Below are 23,557 nucleotides of genomic sequence, written 5' to 3' on the forward strand. Positions count from 1 at the left end.
GTTAGGTGGTATTCTCATTTTACAGATATGGTTAAACTTAAAGAAGTTAAGTAGTTTTGCCACAGTTTACACAGCAAGTAGCAGAACAGTGTTTGAACCCAGACTGGTCTAACTCTGTTCTACATATTCTTAATCTTTAGACTGTAAGTTGTCTTTAGGGACTACCAAAAAAAATTGAGCTGCTTTCAAGCTGTCTTCCTTTGACATTGACCGTATGACATACATATACATGCTTAACAGTAGAAGTTGGCCAGGCACAGTGACTCACGCCTGTAATCCCGGCACTTTGGGAGTCCAAGGCCAATGGATCACCTGAGGTCAGGAGTTTGAGACCAGCCTGACCAACATGGCAAAACCCCGTCTCTACTAAAAATACAAAATTAGCTGGGCGTCGTGGTGCATGCCTGTAATCCCAGCTACTCAGGAGGCTGAGGCAGTAGAATCACTTGAACTCATGAGGCAGAGGTTGCAGTGAGCCAAGATCGCGCCATTGCACTCCAGCCTGGGCAACAAGAGCGAAACTCCGTCTCAAAAAAAAAAAAAAAAAAAAAGAGTAGAAGTTAAACACTATCTCGTATTGGTGTAATACTTTTTTGAATTTTACATGCTTTGTATATCTTGTCAAGCTCTCAGTAACAAAGTTTGAGTGGCAGCACCCCCTAACAGTTGAGGCATATGTGATTAAAGAACCAAACAAAAAATCCACTCAGGTGCACTGGGTTCTGTGTCTCATTATAGTAAGTACTCTGCCCTGGAGGACTTGAGCTGATGTTCACCAGCAGCTAAAGTGACTATTATTAATGTTTAGAGAAGTGGATAGTTCTGCTTAGAATCTATTATAATGTTTAAGCTCTGTTTGCTTTATAATAGAGAACTTCCTGTACTGGACTGTGGATGGATAAAGCCAGACATCTGTGCTTCCAACTCAGCAGGTAAAAGTTGACATTTTCAGAATATGCAATATTGAAGCATCTCTTTATATCTCCATTCAGGCCTAGTCAAGATGAATTCACTAGAACAAGAAGCTTTTCATTTTAGGGTCTGTTGACCATATGTTTTATAGTTTGTCAATTTTCCTGTTTTAATTGACTGGTTGGAAGATCAGATTGAGATATTTTCTGTTTGATTATTTAATAAATAACTTTGTTAGGCTTTATCTACAAAAGATAGGTAATTGACCTCAGCAGTTTTTGTCATCTTATTTTGAAAATGAAATATGTATTTAAGCTTTATCACATTTTAAATCTCAGTTGCTTAAAAAAATTTTATAGTTGGCTAGGGGCGGTGGCTCATGCCTGTAATCCCAGCACTTTGGGAGTCCGCGGCAGGTGGATCACGAGGTCAGGAGATCGAGACCATCCTGGCCAACATGGTGAAACCCCATCTCTACTAAAAGTACAAAAAATTAGCCGGGCGTGGTGGCAGGCACCTGTAGTCCCAGCTACTTGGGAGGCTGAGGCAGGAGAATGGTGTGAACCCGGGAGGCGGAGCTTGCAGTGAGCCAAGATCACGCCACTGCACTCCAGCCTGGGCAACAGTGCGAGACTCTGTCTCAAAAAAAAAAAATATATATACACACACACACACACACACACACACACACACACACACACACACACACACATATATATATGGTTAACAGCTAGTCAAAAGTTTAAATACCTGAATCTTTATTTCATAGGGCATAACTTAGTATGAAAGTTAATTTTACTTTGACTTTCAAGTTTTATAAGTATATTTAAAATACATTTTATTTTATAAGTATATTTAAAAGTATATTTTATAAGTATATTTAAAATAAGTGCATTTAAAATTTAAAATTCTTGAGATGATCAAGAAAAATTCTTAAATATCTGTTTCTTTTTATATAATATAATGGAGTTATTTTGATAGAGAGGAATTATTGTATAATTCGCTGAAAACTCTGCTTCATATTTGTCACATTAGACCTTAAAAGAGCCTCTGAATTCTGAGTCATTTTTTAGAACAGCCTTTGAATAACTCAGTTATTTTGTCTTTAAAGTTTCTATAGTTGAATATTATTTCTTTTCAGAAAGTGAAATAAAACGTGATCCCAAAGATGTAAACACTTCCTTAGGAGAAGTTGCTAATGAGACCTCTGAAAATGAAACACTGGGAGACTTCAGTGAACAAATAAAAGGTTCAGACTTGGATGAAAAGGTACTAGGGGATCTTTTGTGTTTTTTTATTTCTTGGTCTTAAATAGTGGTAATGCATAAATCCATCTTAACAGTGCTATCGGGTGGCAAGTGTAACTCCCTTTATTGAATAAAAGAATCACGTCACTCTAGCCATGGGATGTATCCCTTGATACTTGGTGTAAGCATAGTATAAAAAAGATCTTCCTTGCCTGGGAAAATGGGATGTACTGTTTAATTACATACTGTAGTTAGCTTTTTAGTATCTGAAGTTTGTCACAAACCTATGAAAGTCTTTCTAAATAAAATATTACATATTTTTCTGCCTCAGAAAACACTAAGTACTGAAAATCGTTTGATCTTCCTTAATTTTCAGGTAGCATAGTACCTGAGGGCCATGCTTCCTAGTATGGGATGATTTCTTTGTTTTGTTTGAGGGAAGGGGGATTATATATTTATCCTTCTAATACCATGGTAGGCTTCAAAGTACTAACCCTTTACAAAATTAGTCAGTAATATTTGCTCTTAAGATATCTGGCCCCCAAATTTGGGAATTAACAAACTTGTTTTCGTCTCTCTCTTACCTTACATTTTAGGAACATTAGAGGCTAAGTAGATTGACTTACGGGACATATGCCTGGCCTTCTTTTCTGCTTTTATATATGGCTGGCTGTAAATTTTTAGAAATGCTTCCTTATTGATCTTTTACTTCCACTATATGTGTATGTATGTACAAGTATGTATGTATGTACAAGTACATACATGTATAGTGGGAAATAAAAGATCAATATGCCGGGTGCAGTGACTCAGGCCTGTTATCTCAGGACTTTGGGAGGCTGAGGTGGGAGGACTACTTGAGGCCAGGAATTTGAGACCAGCTTGAGCAACATAGTGAGACCTTGTCTCTACAAAAAAAAATTTTTTTTTAATTAGCAAGGCGTGCTGGCATCCACCTGTAGTCCCAGCTACTTGGCGGGGTGGAGGTGGGAGGATAACTTGAGCCTGGGAGGTCAAGTCTGCAGTGAGCCATGTTCGGGCCACTGCACTCCAGCCTGGGCAACAAAGCAAGACCTGTCTCAAAAAAGAAAACATAGGGGTGTGTGTGTGTGTGTGTGTGTGTGTGTGTGTGTGTGTGTGTGTGTGTGTGTGTGTCTATTTTATATATTTTATATATATATAAAATGTGTGTGTATCTATTTTATATATATATATAGTGTGTGTGTGTGTGTGTGTGTGTGTGTGTGTGTGTGTGTGAATGATTCTTTTCCAGAGGCCTTTTCTTTTCTCCTGTGTATCACTTGTCAATTTTTAGGTTTACCATGGTAGTAATTACTTGATGATTCTACTGTTGGGCTCCTGATAAAGTACTAGTGTACTTTTTTTTAACTTCTTATTTTGAAATAGAGATTCACAGGAAGTTACAAAGGTAGTACAGAGAAGACCCATGTTGCCTTTACCTAGTTTTCCCCTATAATTACATCTTAAAGTATAAGAAGCAGGAATTTGATATTGATAAAATAAGTTTGTGTAGTTCAGTGTATTTTATCAAATATGCAGATTTATGTGACCACCACTGCAGTCAAAGAGCTATTCCATCACCACAAAGATATCCCTTATGCTACCTCTTAACAGTCATACCTGTTTCCCTCCCCCAATAATTTCTATAGTTTTGGCATTTTAAAATGAAGATTCATAAGAGGTTGGCTAGAGGATTATTAATTGATAATTCTAAAAAAAAACAGCTTTAGTTTTACTGATTTTTTTTCCTATGTTGCTTTTTTGTTTTCAGTTTCACTGATTTCTGCTTTGGTTATTTCCTCCTTCTACTTAGTTTGGATTAATTTGTTGTTCTTTTTGTAGCTTCCTAAAGTTGCAGCCGAGGTCATTGATTTGAAACCATTATTATTTTCTAATAGAGGCATTTAGTGCTATAAATGTATCCATAAATACTGTTTCAGCAGCATCCCACTTTTAGTTGAGATAAATTGTGGATTCACGTGCAGTTATAAGAAATAATGCATAGATATCTATCTACCCTTTACCTAGTTTCTCCCAGTTGTAATATATTGCAAAACCATAGTACAATATCACAACCAGAATATTGGCATTAATACGATCAAGATATTACAGAACATTTCCGTCACCACGTGGATCCCTCATGTTGCCCTTTGATAGTGCACACCTACTTTCTTCTCTCTTTCCTCCATCGCCCATTCCTTAACCCTGGACAACCACATATCTGTTCTGCATTTCTATAATTCAGTCATTTCAAGAGTATTATATAAATGGAATCATACAGTATGTAACCTCTTCAGATTGGTTTCTTTTTTTTTTTCCACCTGGATAATCCTGTGGATATTCAACCAAGTCATTGCATATATCGGTAGTTCATTCATTTTTACTGTTTGGTAATACTCCATGGTATAAGTGTACCATAGTTTGTTTAGCTATTTGCTCATTGATGGATATCTAGATTGTTTCCAGTTTGGGACTCTTACAGGATAAAGCTGCTATCTATAAACGTTCATGTACAGGTTTTTGTGTATCTATGTGTTTTAATTTCTCTGGGATAAATGGGCTGTTAACTGCTGAGCTATATAGTAGTCGCATGTTAGGTTTTGACTTGGGTGAACTCATCCTCCAGATTACTCTCCTGCGGCTGGAGTCAGTTGAAATGTTTGTTCAGTTCTTTGAGTCTTAGCTGGGCTCTTTGGAATCCACGTTACATACATATAGTTCAGAGATCAGCTAGAGATTTGGGCCAAGTTATAAGTAGATTTGGGGGATTTATCTGTTAGGCTTTCTCCCATATTCCTAGCCTCACTTTCCAGTTTCTGATTTTACCCCAAACTCTGTTCTTCTGGTTGTTAGTAGGGCAAATTGTTGTCCTCCCCAAGTGGTTCCAACTAGGGCCTGCCCTTGGGTATACAGCCATAAAAGCAAGACATTTACCCAGTGGCATTCCATCTTTTTGAGTGTAGACTTCCCTCTAGGTTCTGCCTGCTTTTCATATCTCTCCAGGCTTTTCAGGTAGTTTAAAAATATTTTATCCAGGGTTTATGGTTGTTATCTGCAGAAGAGTTACCCCAATAGGAGATTCTCTGCCATTTCTCAAAGTACACCCATTGTGAATTCTTTTGAATTTCATCCAGATGGTAGCGTACTGTTCTTTACCTTGCTTAAGATGTTTTTCCTTTCAATGTATGTAATGATGTCTTGTTTTTATAGTTGTATAATTACCTACTATATGAATATAATCTAACAAGTCCCACTATTGATGGACACTTGGTTTGTTTCCATTTTTTTGCTATTTAAATATTGCTGCATTATGCATCCTTGAGCATAAGGCATTTTGCATATGTGCAAGCATTTTTGGATTAATTCCTAGAAGTGGAGTTGTCAAATTGTCCTTCATAGAGATTGCTTTGATTTATACTTTCAACAATATTGTGTGAGAATGCCATTTTCTCCCCACACACTAATTCATTATTAATTTTTTGTCCATCTGCTTATTTTTATAAATGACTTTATTTTAGTTTTAATATGCATTTCTCTTATGAGTCTAGTTAAACATCTTTAGAAGCCATTTATATTGTTTTCTATGAACTTGCTGTGTATGTCCTGATATGGTTTGGCCGTGGTCCCACCCAAAATCTCACCTTGAATCCACATAATCCCCACAATCCCTGCATGTCAAGGGAGAGACCAGGTAGAGGTAATTGAATCATTGGGGCAGTTCCCCCATATTGTTTTATGATAGTGAGTTCTCATGAAATCTGATGGTTTTATTAGCGTTTGGTAGTTCCTCCTGCATTCATTCTCCTTCCTGCCACCTTGTGAAGAAGGGGCCTTGCTTCCCCTTCACCTTGTGTAAGTTTCCTGAGGCCTCCCCAGCCGTGCTGAACTGCGAGTCAATTAAACCTCTTTCCTTATAAATTACCCAGTCTTGGGCAGTTCTTTATAGTAGCATGAAAACGGACTAATACATGCCCATTTGCCCATTTTCTTCTGGATTTGATCTTTTTTACTTGTAGGAACTTTTCATGAAATAAACATATCTATTCTTGTCATATGTGGCTATACCTTTTCCTGGATTTCATTTGTTTTGACTTCGTTTAGGAGCTTTTCATCTTGTAAAAGCCTTTTATTTTTATTTAATCAAATATGTCAGTTTTCTTTTATAATAGGAGTTACAAGTCACATTTAGAGAAACCCTTCCCCATCTCAACATTTAAAATTTTCTCCCATATTTTCTTTTAGGGTTTTTTGGTGTTACTTATTATGTAAAATTTATCTTAGGGGAAGGAATATAGAAACAATGTAACTTTTCCTTATTTTAGCAGATGGCATTTTGTACTCTTTATTCTCTTAACATATGAAAATATTTAAAATATTTATAGTCAAACCATTGATATCTTACTTCATGGTTTCTGCCTTTGGTGTCACGCTTAGGCTTTCCCAACCCTCCAAATTATATACTCATTTATATATTTGATTTGTTTTGCTATTTTATTTTCTTTTGCTACTTTTAGAATTTATTTTTAATTTAATGAAATATTTAATAAACCTAAAAGGTATTTTGGCATATGGTGAGTTAGGAGCACACTTATTTTCCATCCAATTAACTAGCCAGTTGTTCTACCATTTATTGAATCATTTCCTCCTAAATTTCAAGTGCCATATTTAATATTTTCAAAGTTTTATGTGTAGATCTGTTTCTTTTTTTTTGTTTCATTGATTGCTAGTCCTTACACCAATAGCATACTGTCAATTTTTTGAAAAATAGTAAGTAAAATATTAAATGGTAAAATATGTTTTGGTGGTTCTCTCTCTTGTATTTTTTTAAAGAGTGCTTTAAACTCACATTGTAGTTTTTTTAATGTATAAATTAATTTGGGGAGAATTAGCATCTTTAACTCTAGTATTCTCATCCAGGAACATGGTAGGTCCTCGGTTTGTTATGTTTTATGTTTCTCAGTTGATTTTTGTAGTTTTCTAAGAGTTCTAGGTTGTCTTCCAAGGCTTTTATAGTTTTGGGTTTTACATTTAAGTTTTTAACCATCTCAAGTTGATTTTTGCATATGGGAAAAGAAGGATCCAGTTTCAGTCTTCTGCATATGGCTAGCCAGTTACCCAGCACCATTTATTGAATAGAGGTCCTTTCCCCATTGCTTGTTTTTGTCAGCTTTGTTGAAGATCAGATGGTTGTAGGTGTGCAGCCTTATTCCTGGGCTGTCTATTCTGTTCTATTGGTCCGTGTATCTGTTTTTGTACAAGTACCATGCAGTTTTGGTTACTATAGCCCTGTAGCGTAGTTTGAAGTCAGTAACATGATGCCTCCAGCTTTGTTCTTTTTGCTTAGGATTGCCTTGTCTATTCGCACTCTTTTTGAGTTTCATATGAATTTTAAAATAGTTTTTTCTAGTTCTGTGAACAATGTCATTGGTAGTTTAATAGGAATAACATTGAATCCATAAATTACTCTGGGCAGTATGGCCATTTTAATGATATTGCTCTCTCCTATCCATGATCATGGAATGTTTTTCCATTAGTTGATGTCGTCTGTGCTTTCTTTGAGCAGTGTTTTGTAATTCTCATTATAGAGATCTTTCACTTCCCTGGTTAGCTGTATTCCTAGGTATTTTATTCTTTTAGTGGATGCCTGTTTTTTCAAAAGTTTAATATTTGAACATGTATAACCTTCTTATGACTGAAAAATCATGATTTCAAAACAGCTACTTGTGAAATGTAAGTATAGTTATATTTAAAACACATTTAAATATTTCTTATGAAATACAAATTTTATGTTCATAAATACCACTTTAAAATAACTCAAAGCTCAAGCTTTTTTCTGAATAAAAAGAAACTCAACTTTAGTTTTACCTAATAATTTGAAATAGCAACTTGGGTAATTAAAGGGGATATCAAAACCTGGACAAATATTTTGACTTATATTAATTTTTCTCTTAAGCAGCAGTGGAAATTTTAAAGTCAGTATTCAGTATTTTAAATTATGTAGAGTAGAATTGTTTTTAGGGATTGGCCATAAACTAGTTATTTAATTAACATCTAATACATTATAATAAATCCAGTAAGCCTCATAGCTTAGTATGTAATACAGAGACCTTCACTTGTACTTATTTAACCATAATCTCTTCACAGCATAGATTTACAGACAAAGTGATTACCAAAGAAGAAAAAGAAAATATTTATGAAGTTTGCAAAAGGTCTGTAACATAATTCTTAATTACATAACTTAAAATAGTCACTCATCTAATTTATATCTTGAGTATGTTTTTTATTCTCTGCTGTTTATATGCTTGGGCTATATGCCATAAGCCATATATAGGTATAATTTAATTAATGTGTCAGATGTACTCAGGTGTAAGGGGTATTGTAAATTACCTTAAAGCTGTCACTAAGTTTTTTGAGCCATTAAAATATTTTTTGAGGAAAGATAAGGAGTAGTGATAAAAAGAAAAAATGATGTATGTTTGACTTTTATGAAGATATGAGTGGCTGAAATCAGATTCACATTGCAGTTTGCAAGGATCTTACATAGTTGCAGCGATTCATACTAAGAGTTATAGCACACCCACTGGAACATATAAAACCACCACATTTGGAATTGGAGGACACCTTAAAGACCATCTGATCCATCCTCCACCACCCTCATTTTGCATGTGAGGCAAGGCTCACCCAGGACAGGTGATGGATGCATTTGAGGCTTTTAATGTTAAGGCAGTAATTTTCAAAGTGTGATCCTTGGAGAAGCATCATCATGTAGGAACTTGTCAGAAATTGAAATTATTGAGTCCCATCTCAGATCTCTGAATCAAACTTTGGGGATGGGCCTATCAATCTGTTTTTAACAAGACCACCAGCTGATTTTGATGCATGCTCAAGTTTGAGAACTGTGTTAAGGGAAAGACTGGGCAAGAATTAAATTGGCATAGAAGGTTTAGTTTGGTTCATGACCATTTGGAGATACTAAAGAAAAAGGAAGATACTAAAGAAAAAGCAATAAGATTAACTTTTTTTTCTGTTGAAATCATTTTGCTTACAAACTAACATAGTGTAATTGCAGACTGCAAAGGTTTATCAACTTGACTCTAGCATAGCGATCACCAGTTGACATTGATCGGTTAAGTCATTACATCACCATGGGCTTCAGTCATCTGATCAAAAATAAAAAATAGATCATCTCTTCCATCTATAAAAATTCATAATTTCTATTTCTTTGTTTATGTTGCCGCTTTTGTTTTATTTGTGGAGGACATACTGATAATACATAGTAAGTGACATCCCAAGTTGGGGAGAGAAGTGAATATCTTTATTTTGTGTGAAAATCTTAAATTCTACCAATGATACTAAATTTCAACTCTTATAAATATGGGTCCCTCTTCTTCCTATTTTTAGTCTCCTCTGGCGCAGAAAACACAAGCTGAAAAACTTATTAGAATTATTTTTAAGGTAAAGATTATAGTATCTGAATGTTGGTGTAAACCTCTCTCCTAAAAAGTAAATGCATTTGTATTTACTAATCAGCTCTGAAGTACTTCTCTCTCTCCCCTTACTTGAATTATTTTTCTAGATAAGTAGTGTCCAAATTAAATTTTTGTAAAATTGCTTATGTAGGATCTCACATATTAGAATACAATTAAAGCTGTTTAAATCAGCCACCCTGGAACAATAACATTTTTAATACCTTTTCCCCAGAGAAAGCACTCAAATGCCTTTATAGGCTTATTGTGTATACCTTTCCTGAAGACTAATTTATAATTCATTTAATTGCATTATCAGTAGAATAATTTAATGACCTTTTCTGATTAGAACACTAACCTAACTCCTCCTCAGACCTTTTGTTTAGCATAGTCAAAAATATTTTGCTCTAATCTTAACCACACCACCCCATTCCTTCCTCTACTCCAACCACTTAAGAAGTGCTGGTTTTCTAGTTAAGAAGGCAGGAACAACCTATTGGAGATGCTGAAGAATTGTAATATATACAGGTATACCTTGGAGGTATTGCAGGTTTGAGTTCAGACTACTGCTGTAAAGCAAATAAAATGAGTCATATGAATTTTTTTGTTTCCTAGTGCGTATAAAAGTTATGCTTACACTGTACTTTAGTCTATTAAGTGTGCAATAGCATTATGTCTTTAAAAAATGTACACACCTTCATTTAAAAATACTTTATTGCCAAAAAGTTTTTACATCATCTGAGCCTTCAGTGAGTCATATTTGCCTGGATGTTGATGGCTGCTTACTGAATAGGGTGGTTGAAGATTGGGGTGAAGGTTGAAGGTTGAGGTGGCTGTGGCAATTTCTTAAAATAAGACAACAATGAAGTTTGCTGCATCAGTTGACACTTCTTTTCACAAAAGATTTCTCTGTAGCATGTGATGCTGTTTGATAGCATTTTACCAACAGTAGAACTTCTTTCAAAATCAGACTCAATCCTCTCAAACTCTACCTCTGCTTTATCAACTAGATTGTGTGATATTCTGAATACTTTGTCACTTAAACAATGTTAATGGCTTCTTCATCAGGAGTAGATTTCATCTCAAGAAACCACTTTCTTTGCTCATCCATAAGAAGCAACTCTTAATCCATTCAAGTTTTATCATGAGATTGCAGCAATTCAGTTACAACTTTAGGCTCCACTTCTACTTCTAGTTTTCTTGCTATGTCCTCCACATTTGCAGTGACTTCCACAACTAAAGTGTTTAACCCCTGAAAGTCATCTATGAGGGTTGGAATCAACTTCCTCCAGACTGCTAACGTTGATATGTTGACCTTCTCTTATAAATCACAAATGTTTTTAATGGCACCTCGAATGGTGAATTCTTCCTAGGTTTTCAATTTACTTTGTCAAGATCCATCAGAGAAATCACTATCCATGGCAGATAGAGCCTAATTAAATGTATTTCTTAAATAATAAGTCTTGAAAGTCAAAATTACTTCTTGATTCATAGATTGCAGAATAGATGTTGTGTTAGCAGGCATAAAAACAACATTCAGACTGGGCATGGTGGCTCACGCCTGTAATCCCAGCACTTCGGGAGGCCAAGGTGGGTGGATCACAAGGTCAGGAGTTCACCAGCATGGCCAAGATGGTGAAACCCCACCTCTACTAAAAATGCCATAATTAGCCAGGCGTGGTGGCGGGCACTTGTAATCCTAGCTACTCAGGAAGCTGAGGCAGAGAATTGCTTGAACCCAGGAGGGGGAGGTTGTAGTGAGCTGAGATCGCACCACTGCACTCCAGCCTGGGCGACAGAGCAAGACTCCATCTCAAAAAACAAACACAGAAAAAAACCAAAATATTCTTCTCCTTGAGCATGTCCAGCAGAGTTCTTGGGTGACAAGATACATTGTCAATGAGCAGTGGTATTTTGAAAGGAATCTTTTTGAGCAATAGCTCTCAACAGTGGGCTTAGAATATTCAGTAAACCATGCTTTAAACAGATGTGCTGTCTTGCAGGCTTTGATGTTTCATTTATAGGGCACAGAAAGAATAGATTTAGCATAATTCTTAAGGGCCCTAGGATTTTTGGAATGGTTAAAGTTGCCAGCTACATTATCCCTTAACAAGAGAGAGCCAGTCTATTCGTTGAATCTTTGTAGCCAGGCATTAACTTTTCTCTAGCTATGAAAGTCCTAGATGGTATCTTCTTCCGGTATAAGGCAGTTTTGTCTACATTGAAAATCAGTTTGTTGTAGCTTCCTTCATCAGTTATCTTAGCTAGATCTTCTGGATAACTTGCTGCAACTTTTCCATTAGCAAGTTGACCTTGCACTTCCTGTTTGACCTTGCACTTCTATGTTACAGAGATGATTTGTTTCGTGAAACCTCATGAACCAATTTTGCTAGCTTCATACTTCTGTAGCTTTCTTATCACTCTCAGCCCTCACAGAATTGAAGAGAGTTAGGGCCTTGCTCTGTATTAGGCTTTGGCTTAAGGGAATGTTGTGACTGGTTTGATCTTCCATCTAGATCACTCAAACTTTTTCCATTTCCGCAGTAAGACTGTTTCACTTTCTTTTCATTCGTATGTTCACTGGAGTAACACTTTTAATTTCCTTGAAGAACTTTTCCTTTGCATTGACAGCTTGGTTAACTATTTGGTACAAGAAGCCTACCTTTTGGCCTGTCTTATCCGTCAACATGCCTTCCTCACTAAGCTTAATCATTTCTAGCTTTTGATTTAAAGTGATAGATGTGATACTCCTCCTTTCACTTGACTGCTTAGAGGACATAGTAGGGTCATAAACTGGTCTAATTTCAATATTGTTTTGTCTCAGGAAATAGGGAAGCCTAAGGAGAGGGAGAGAGATGGGGGAACAGCCAGTTGGTGGAGCAGTCAGAACACACACATCATTCATTGATTAAGTGTACCCTCTTATAGGGGCTTAGTTTTCATGGTGCCCTGAAACAATATCAGTAGTAACACTGATCACTGATCATAGAGCACCATAACAGATAAAATAATAATGAAAAAATTTGAAATATTGTGAGAATTACCAAAATGTGACACAGAGACGTAAGTGAGCACGTGCTGTTAGAAAAATGGCACCAATTAGACTTGCTCGACTCAGGGTTGCCACAGTGCTTCAATTTGTAAAAAAATAAAAATAAAAAATTTTTTTAAAAAGAAATATCTGATATCTGCAAAGCATTACTTTAATGTTTAAAAATACATTTAAATTCTGATGTTAATTTTTCCTTTCACACAGCAAAGATTCTAGAAATGCAGACTTTATGGTCGGCGAATGTCAATTTGCAGTACCAGTCCCGAAACCTCTGTGTTTATTAGTACCTCCTTTGAATCTAAGTGGTCGTCAAGAAGACACAATACTGAATACCTGGATGAATGGTACTATTTGTTTTCTTAATGAAATCCTGTTGGCTTTTGGTGATATAGAAACTAGGAGATTTTTCTACCAAAAACAAAAAACGATTAAAAAAGAAAAATGGAATCATGTAGAATATGTTAAAATTAGAAGGTTTGTGCACCTTTACTTAGTACTTTTTTTTTTTTTTTTTTTTTTGAGACAGAGTCTCACACTGTCGCCTAGGCTGGAGTGCAGTGGCACGATCTCAGTGCACTGCAACCTGCACCTTCCCAGGTTCAAGCGATTCTCCTGCCTCAGTCTCCTGAGTGGCTGGGATTACAGGCACCTGCCACCATGCCCGGCTAATTTTTTTGTATTTTTAGTAGAGACGGGGTTTAACGGTGTTGGCCAGGCTGGTCTTGAACTCCTGACCTCGTAATCTGTCCACCTCAGCCTCCCAAAGTGCTGAAATTACAGGTGTAAGCTACCGCGCCCAGCCTACTTAGTACTTTTGATGGAACAACGTGTGAAATATCTGTATTTATGTGATAGTGGTAGTACGAGTAAATTACAGGTTATATCTAAAATATATTTTGATGGAGTGTGTATATGTATTTTAGAACTTGTGTCAGTTTTTTGATAATTAACAATATTTTGAACAAAATAGACTACATTAAAGGATGAATTTAGAATCTGTAAAATCACATTGTATAGCACACACCTAACTTTTCTATATCTACCCTACTATACCTACTGACTTCATGCTGCCTCGTGTTGTATACTATAACAGCAAGCCCATGATGGTCATGTGTTTTATCTTAAAAGTCTTACAGTTTTCATAATGCAAATTACTGTGAAGTTATGCAGCAAAAACTTCAGCTTGTTTCAGATTATAGCTGGATGCTGCCAAAGTAAAAAATAAATGATTTAAAATTAAAAATACTTTTATTTTTATTTGTTATTTTTATCTTTAGAAAAGAACATTTTTAAATGCCCTAGTTCTCTTTTTAAAAGACCAACATTAAGGGATATGATGCCTGGTGTATTAGTTTGCTTGGGCTGCCATAATAAAATGCCACAGATTAAAGGGCTCAAACAACAGAAATTTATTTTGCACAGTGCTAGAAGTTCAGGGCTAAGGTTCTAGAAGGGTTCATTTTCTGATGAGGGCTCTCTTTCTGGCTTGCAGATGGCTACCTTCTTGCTAAGTCCTCACATAACTTTTCCTTGGTGTGTGCAAGGAAAGAGTGTAAGCTCTGTGGTGCCTATTCTTTTTTTTTTTTTTTTTTTTTTTTTTAGACAGAGTCTCACTCTATAGCCCAGGCTGGAGTGCAGTGATGTGATCTTGGCTCACTACAACCTCCCCCTCCCAGGTTCAAGTGATTCTCCTGCCTCAGCCTCTCGAGTAGCTGGGATTACAGGCACGCACCACCATGCCTGGCTAATTTTTGTATTTTTAGTAGAGACGAGGTTTCACCATGTTGGCCAGGCTGGTCTCAATGGTCTCAAACTCCTGACCTCAGGCAATCTGCCCACGTGGGCCTCCCAAAGTGCTGAGATTACAGGTGTGAGCCACCGCACCAGACTGGTGCCTATTCATATAAGGACATTAATTCCATTGATTCAGGACCCCACCTCTTTGACCTCATTTAACCTGATTAACTTCTATAAACACCCTATCTCCAAATATAGTCATATTGAGGGTTAGGGCTTCAACATGTTAATTTTTTGGGGACACAGTTCAGTCCATCGCACCTGGATTTGTCACTAGTTTTCTTCCCTTAGAAATGTTTATTGTGTATAATATTTGTCTATTTAACTTAGAGACATATCATTTGAATACAGTGCCCAATGCTGCTATGTGAGGTTTTTAAGAAAGTTGTCTGCAGCTTATAGTGAGTTTAAAATTTTAAATTCAGGTCTAGAAATACTTGAGGGTACCTAAGATGTATATCGTACTATATTTCACAGGAACACACATGGCAGCACAGTCTGTGAACTGAATATGAATATTTCAAAGTGAAACTTTAAAGCAGATAGTAGTGATCATCTATTTCATTGTTATGAAGAAAATAAGTTGTAACATATTGGTGTGTAATGCCACTCTAAATCATTTCTAGATTTCAGATTTCTGGGAAAACATTCTGTCCTAAAGCTGCAGAATCCTGAAACTTGTGAAATATTCAAGAGGGAAAAAAATGTGGGGGTAAGTCTACTTTAAAAAATAATAATAATCTGTCTCTTTCTCCTCCCCCTCCTCCTCCTTCTCCTCCCTCCTCTTCCTCACTTTCCTCCACTCCCTCTTTTATCCTCCCCTTAAAAAAATAATTTTATAAACCAATACTTTGGACCTTTTGATTGTATTTCCCTATCATCTTTTTTTTTTTTTTTTTTTTTTTTTTTTTTTGAGACGGAGTCTTGCTCTTGTCGTCCAGGCTAGAATACAATGGCATGATCTCGGCTCACTGCCCCTTAAAAAAAAAAAATTTTCATAAAACCAATACTTTGGACCTTTTGGTTGTATTTCCCTATCCTTTTTTTTGAGACGGAGTCTTGCTCTTGTCGTCTAGGCTGGAGTACAATGGCATGATCTTGGCTCACTGCAACCTCTGCCTCCTGGGTTCAAGCCTCAGCCTTAAGATTCTCCTGCCTCAGCCTCCTGAGTAGCTGGGATTACAGGCGCCCACCACCACGCCCGGCTAAGTTTTGTATTTTTAGTAGAGATGGGGTTTCACCATGTTGGCCAGGCTGGTCTCGAACTCCTGACCTCGTGATCCTCCTTCCTTGGGCTCCCAAAGGATTACGGGCGTGAGCCACTGTGCCCAGCCTATCATCATTTTTTAAGCAGTTCCAGATATTATATGGATTTTGAATGGAGGTTTGTGGTAAGAGGTAGAAAATAAGTAGTGAGTTAGAGGATATTCACAAATAGTGTAAGAGGTTGAAAACAGCAGAGGGAGAACATCCAAAACAGAAAAAACAGGCTGAATACTTTTCTGTGATGAAAGAGAAAGCTGCTGATATAAAGCAGTTTATGGGGAAAGTTTGTTGTAAAAAGCTTTAACTCTGTCATTTGCCTTGTTCTATTAATCAGAAAAACTAAGGAGAATTTTGGTTCTAATAAATGCATCTGAAATATAGTGCATATTATAATAGAATTAACTTTTTGTAAAAGCAGAGACAGGTACGTGAAAGGGAAGAGGAATGTGTACATTTTTTTAAATATGTAAAGTATGTGGGGGCAGGGAGTCCATGGGATATTTCTGTTCCTTAGTTTTTCTGTGAACCTGTACCTGCTCCAGAAAAAACAGTCTTAAAAAATGAGACATAAAAGAGAATAACCTTGATGGAATATTTTACACAAAGATAAATTTTTTAAAATCCAGACAAATCACTCTGAAATGATTTTTTAATTATTTTTGAAAATATAAATTGTTTGAAGTTTTATTTTTTCTTATTAAATTAGCAAACAAGTTATCTTGATACTCTTTGGAATATATGTTATTTGTGTTGCTTCAAATGCTGTCTTGCTTAACTATAGTAAGTGCTTTACAGTTAATACAGAAAGTGAATCTTTCTAATTTTCTAGGTGTTCCAGAAGTCCCTAGGGTTGATGATACCCTATAAATATTGCAAATTTCATTTTAATACATTACGTGGCTGTGAGCGACCACTGTGCAAGTTTGCTCATGTGCCTGAACAAGGGGATGAAAAGGTAAAACATATAAAGTCTTTAAAGTAGAGATTGTTTTAATAACTATCTCAGTCATGCATTTTAATTTAGATTTTCATTGACTCCTAATAGCATAGATGTGAGTTTTGCCTGCTTTTGTTCTTTATATAAATGGAATCATATGTGTATTCTTTAGTCTGTCTTCTTTTGCTCGATATTTTTGAGCAAACACCTATTGTAGATGTTTCTCATTGTCCTATAATAGTTAATATTCCATTTTATGAGTGTATCAAAATGGAATATTGGGTGGAGCAGATTTGGATATTACAATTGTGATGCTGTCAGTGTTCCCCATGTCTTTTGGTGAACATATGTATACGTTCTGATAGGTTATACTTAAAACTGGAACTGCTGTGTCATAGGGTCTGCATATATTCAGCCCTAGTAGATAACAGCCAAATAGGTTTCCAGAGGGGTTTTACCAAATTACACTCTTACCAGCAATGTCTGAGAATTCTGGTTGTTTCACATCCTTACCAGCTCTTGATATTATTAGCCTTTTGCATATAGCCATTCTGGTGGGTGGGTAGTGATACCTTCCCTGATGATTGATGAAGTTGAGCACTTTTCAATGTTTATTGGGCATTAATGGGATATGCTCTATTTGGAAATATACAGATATTTTCCCTATATTCTATGGGATTCTTTTTCTTCTCAGTCTACAATAATTAATCATATAATCTGTATACAAGTTCTTGGTTGTATGTGTGTATGTATATCTATATATATAAAATCATTTATTACTTTAGAAGTTGCCTTTTCACCTTTTGTATTTTGTTTTAATTTTTATTTTTAAATTATAAATTGAAAACTATAGTTTATTTATGGGGTACAGTGTGATGTTTTGATTTATGAATATGATATGGAATAATTAAATCAAGCTAATTAACATATCTGTCACCTAAGATACTATCTTTTTTTGTGGCAAGAATATTTGAAATTTACTCTTAGCAATTATGAAATGTGCATTATTATTTGCCATAGTCACCACTCCATACAATAGATATCAAAGAAAAAAAAACTTTTTCTTCCTGTTTAATTGAGGTTTTGTACTATTTGACCATCATCTCCCCATTCCCCTAACCACCCTCCACCCCTGTCCTCTGGTAACTACTGTTCTACTCTCTGCTTCTTTGAGTTTTAGATTCCATATGTAAATGAGAACATATATGGCATTTGTCTTTCTGTACTTGGCTTATTTCAGTTAGCATGTTCTCCAGTCTATCTGTGTTATGGTGACAAAACTTCTTTCTTTTTATAAGGCTGAATAGTATTTCATTGTGTATATATACCACATTTGCTTAATCCATTCATCCATTGATGGACACTTAGGTTGATTCCATACCTTGGCTATTGTGAATAGTGCTGCAATGAACATAGACGTGCAGACATCTCTTCAACATACTGATTTCAAATCTTTTGGGTAAATACACAGAAGTGAGATTGCTGGATCATATGGTAATTCTATTTTTAGTTTTTTGAGGAATGACCATACAGTTTTCTATAATGGCTATACTAATTTACATTGCCACCAACAGTATACAAAGATTCCCTTTTCTGCACATCTTCACCAGCACTTGTTATTGTTTGTCTTTTTGATAATAGCCATTCTGACAGATGTCAGGTAATATCTCACTGAGGTTTATAATTTGCATTTCTCTGATTCATGATGTTGAGCCTTTTTTCGTACATTTGCCATTTATATGTCTTCTTTTGAGGAATGTTTGTTCAGCTCTCTTGCCCTTTTTTTTGAGGCAGAGTCTTGCTCTGTTGCCCAGGCTGGAGTACAGTGGCACGATCTTGGCTCACTGCAGCCTCCACCTCCTGGTTCAAGCGATTCTTCTGCCTCCACCTCCTTAGTAGCTGGGACTACAGGCCTGTGCCACCAAGCCCGGCTAATTTTTGTATTTTTAGTAGAGACACAGTTTCACCATGTTGGCCAGGATGGTCCCCATCTCCTGACCTCATAATCTGCCTGCCTCGGCCTCCCAAAGTGCTGGGATGACAGGCATGAGCCACTGCACGCAGCCTCCGTTGCCCATTTTTAAATTGGATTACTTGTATTCTTTCTATAAAGTTATTTGAATTCTTTATATATTTTAGATACTAACCCCTTATCAAATGTATGGCTTGCAAATATTTCTCCCAACCTATAGGTTGTCAAAACTCAATCTTAAACAAACCAACAACTATCCTCTAATGAGGGACTTACCACCAGATTGTGCCCAGATAAGGCAAACACCTAGCTATAGCCATTCAAGTAATTTCTCTACTTTGTTTCCACATTCAGTCTATAAGAAATCCCACTGTTCACACTGTTGAAACAGAGCTCTCTGAACCTCTCTAGTTTGGGGTGCTTCCTCATTCGTGAATCTTTTAATGCTCAAATAAACTCTATTAAATTTATTTTTTCTGAAGTTTTTCTTTTAACAGAAGTCAAAACAAAGTTAGCAGGGACACACTGAAGCCTTTCTGTGATAAGGCTTAAAAGGTTAGTTACATGGTGGTAAAAGGCTATATTCTAGAAGACCTCTGCTAAAATAAGAACTCTCTAATATAGCAAGAGCCAGAGTTTCTTACATCTTCTTTTTGTTTTCAATCTCTTTTCCTCTTTACACTATATTCTCTACTCCGCATTCAGAATTATCTTCCTAAAATATGGAATTAATCTGGTCAATAATAAAAAAGTCTCCCTTCCGTATACAAAATAAATTCAAATTATTTAGTTTGGCATTCATCAACTTACAATCACTTGTCAGTGTATTTGTCAAATTTCACTTCCCACTGATGTACCACCCCCCATGCTCCAATCACACCATCCTCTTCATCCTTTAAAACCCAGCTCAAAGCCACAATAATATGTGGCAAGAAAAGACTATGCACTAAGACCACTAAGATAAGTAAGATAGGTCCCAGCTATCAAGAATCCCATTTGGCAGAGAGACACACAAGCAAACAAATCAATGTTATTTAATATAAAGGATGTGTTGTAAAATATGAGCAGAATATAGATAGGCAAATTATTAATTCAAACAAGATCAGAAGAAGCTTCATAGAAAAAATAAAAATATATTCATGAGTGACTTACCATATATGTCAGATTCTGTTTCAAGTGCTTTACGTATATTAACTGATTTAATCCCCATTTTCTTTGATGATGAAAATGAGAGGCCCAGCGCGGTGGCTCATGCCTGTAATCCCTGCACTTTGGGAGGCCCAGGCGGGTAGATCACCTGAGGTCAGGAGTTCAAGATCAGCCTGGCCAACATTGTGAAACCCTGTCTCTTTTTTTTTTTTTTGGCAAGGCACAGTGGCTGAGGCCTGTAATCCCAGCACTTTGGGAGGGTGAGGCAGGCAGATCATTTGAGGTCAGGAGTTCAAGACCAGCTTGACCTACAAAGTGAAACCCCATCTCTACTAAATTACAAAAATTAGCTGGGCATGGTGGTGGGCGCCCAGCTACTTGGGAGGCTGAGGTAGGAGTATCACTTGAACCCAGGAGGTGGAGGTTGCAGTGAGGCGAGACTGAGCCACTGCACTCCAGCCTGGGTGACAGAGCAAGACTCCCTCTCAAAAAAAAAAGAAAAGAAAAGAAAAGAAAAGAAAATGAGAGCCAAAAAGAGTTTAAGTAAAAGAAACATAATAATAATAACTACCATTTATTGAATATTTACAACATGCCAGGCACAATGCTAAGCACTGAAAAGGCACAAAATGGAAGTAAAGCCTTAAATTTTTTTTTTTTTTTGAGATGGATTTCTTGTTGCCCAGGCTAGAGAGCAATGGCACAATCTCAGCTCACTGTAACCTCCGCCTCCCGGGTTCAAGCGATTCTCCTGCCTCAGCCTCCCAAGTAGCTGGGATTACAGGCGTGCGCCAACATGCCCGGCTAATTTTGTATTTTTAGTAGAGACAGGGTTTCTTCATGTTGGTCAGGCTGGTCTTGAACTCCCGACCTCAGGTGATCTGCCTGCCTCAGCCTCCCAAAGTGCTGGGATTACAGAGCCATTGCACCCGGCCGCCTTTAATTCTTTTAAGTGAGAGATGACAGTTCTTATTTTGTACCTCCACTGGTAGGTTTTTTTTTAATTGCTCTTGATTCATAATATTTTACATATTTATGGGGTATATGTGATATTTTGTTACATCTATGTGTGTGATATTTTGTACATCTATGCATGTGGCAAAATATCCCATACCCCATAAATACATAAAATTTATTATTATACATCCATACAGTTTACATGCATAGATGTAACAAAATACCACATATACCCCATAAATATGTAAAATATTGTGAATCAAGATCATAATGATCAATCAAGTCAGGGTATTTGGTGTATCCATCACCTTGAGTGTTTAACATTTCTATGAGTTGGGAACATTTCAAATTCTTCTAGCTACTTTGAAATACACAATACATTGTTGCTAACTATAGTCATCCTACACTGCTATCAAACATTAGAACTTATACCTTCCAACTGTATGTTTATACTATTTGACCAACCACTCTTTTTCCCCCTCCTACCTACACATTCTTCCCAGCCTCTGTTTCTATCATTCTACTGTCTACCTCAATGAAATCAACTTCTTTAGCTCCCACGTAAGAGTGAGAATATGGTATATGTGTCTTTGTGCCTCCTTGTTACCACTTAACATACTGACCTCCAGTTCATCCATATTGCTGCAGACTACATGATTTCATTCTTTTTTATGACCAAATAATATTCCATTGTGTATATATACCACATTTTCTTTATTCATTGATCTATTGATGGACTCTTGGGTTGATTCCATATCTTTGCTATTGTGAATAGTGCTGGAATAAACATGTGAGTACAGGTATCCCTTTAATTTACTAATTTTTTTTTCTTTGGATAAATACCCAGTAGTGGGATTGCTAAATCATATGGTAGTTTTACTTTTAGTTTTTTAAGAAATCTCCATACTGTTTTCCACAGAGGCTGCGCTAATTTACATTCCCACCAACAGTGTATAAAAGTTCTTTTTTCTCTGCATCCTCACCAACATTTGTTATTTTCTGTCTTCTTAGTGATAGGCACTCTAACTGGGGTAAGATGATACCTTACTGTGGTTTAGATTTGCATTTCCCTGATATGTAGTAATGTTGAGCATTCTTTCATATACCTGTTAGCCATTTGTATGTCTTCTCTTGAGAAATGTCTGTTCATGTCCTTTGCCCACTTTTTAATGAGATTATTTGCTTTTTTTGCTGTTGAATTGTTTGAGTTCCTTGTATATTCTGGATATTAGTCCTTTGTCACATGAATAGTTTGCAAATATTTTCTTTCATTCAACAGGTTCTCTTCACTGTGTTTGCTGTGCAGAAGCTTTTTGGTTTAATATAGTCCCATTTGTCTTATTTTTTGTTTTGTTGCCTGTGCTTTTGCAGTTTTTGCCATAAAATCTTTGCCTAGACCAATGTCCTATAGTATCTCCCCTATGTTTTCTCCTATGGTTTTAGGTGTTAAGTTTTAATCCATCTTGAGTTGATTTTGTGTATGGTGAGAGATAGGGGTCCAGTTTCATTCTTCTGAATATGGATATCTTAATTTTCCCAGCACCACTTATTGAAGAGGGTCCTTTCCTTAATGTATGTTCTTGGCGCCTTTGTCAAAAATCATTTGGCTGTAAATAGGTAAATTTACTTCTGGATTCTCTGTTCTATTCCATTGGTCTATAGGTCTGTTTTTATATCAATACCATGCTTTTTTGTTTACTGTATCCTTATAATGTATTTTGAAGTGAGGTAGTTTAATGCCTCCAGCTTTGTTCTTTTTTTTTTTTTTTTTTTTTTTTTTTTTCCAGAATTGCTTGGCCTATTCTGGCTCTTTTTTGGTTCCATGTGAATTTTAGGGTTGTTTTTCTATGTCTGTGAAAAATGACATTGGTATTTTAATAGAGATTACATTGAATCTGTAGATTGCTTTGGGCAGCTTTTTTGTTTTTTTGGTTTTTTTTAGACGGAGTCTGGCTCTGTCGCCAGGCTGGAGTACAGTGGCGAGATCTCGGCTCACTGCACCCTCCGCCTCCTGGGTTCAAGCTACTCTCCTGCCTCAGCCTCCTGAGTAGCTGGGACTACAGCCATATGTCACCACGCCCAGCTAATTTTTTTGTATTTTTAGTAGAGACGGGATTTCACCATGTTGGCCAGGATGGTCTCGCTCTCCTGACTTCATGATCTGCCTGCCTCAGCCTCCCAAAGTGCTGGGATTACAGGCATGAGCCACCACACCTGGCCCAGTATGGTCATTTTAATGACATTAATCCTTCTAATTTATAAGCTTGGGATGTCTTTCCATTTGTTTGTGTCCTCTTCAGTCTCTTTCATCAGTGCCTTGTGGTTTCCTTGTAGAGATCTTTTACCTCATTGGGTAAATTTATTCCTAAGTATTTTTTTGTAACTTTTATAAATGGGAATACCTTCTTGATTTCTCTCTCAGCTAGTTCATTATTGGTGTATAGAAACACTATTAATTTTTGTGTTTTGATTTTGTATCCTGCAACTTTACTGATTTATTCATCACATCTAAGAGTTTTCTGGTGTATTCTTTGGTTATTTTTAAATATAAAATCATATAATTAGCAAAGAGTGACAATTTGACTTCTCCAACTTGGATGCCTTTTATTTCTTTCTCTTGCCTGCTTGCTCTGGCCAGGACTTCTGGTACTATGTTGAATAGGAGTGGTGAAAGTAGGCATCCTTGTCTTGGTCATTCAGTATGATGTTAGCTGCAGGTTTGCCTTATATGGCTGATAGAGTTTGGATATTTGTCCCTGCCCATATCTCACATTGAACTGTAAT

At 36.4% G+C, this 23,557-nt stretch overlaps 1 protein-coding gene across 4 annotated transcripts in view; it reads left to right on the forward strand.

The window, feature by feature from the left end:
- Positions 1–23,557, forward strand: part of TOPAZ1 (testis and ovary specific TOPAZ 1) — a 94,804-nt gene that overhangs the window by 12,212 nt on the left and 59,035 nt on the right. For all 4 annotated transcript variants that reach the window (XM_011533694.3, NM_001145030.2, XM_017006361.2 and 1 more), the window contains exons 3-8: positions 871–932; positions 2,054–2,181; positions 8,322–8,386; positions 12,900–13,039; positions 15,119–15,204; positions 16,588–16,713. In XM_011533694.3, coding sequence (XP_011531996.1) covers positions 871–932; positions 2,054–2,181; positions 8,322–8,386; positions 12,900–13,039; positions 15,119–15,204; positions 16,588–16,713 — 607 coding nt within the window. The remainder of the gene's footprint in view (positions 1–870; positions 933–2,053; positions 2,182–8,321; positions 8,387–12,899; positions 13,040–15,118; positions 15,205–16,587; positions 16,714–23,557) is intronic.

The sequence above is a fragment of the Homo sapiens genome, chromosome 3 (assembly GCF_000001405.40).
Source record: "Homo sapiens chromosome 3, GRCh38.p14 Primary Assembly".
NCBI lineage: Eukaryota > Metazoa > Chordata > Mammalia > Primates > Hominidae > Homo > Homo sapiens.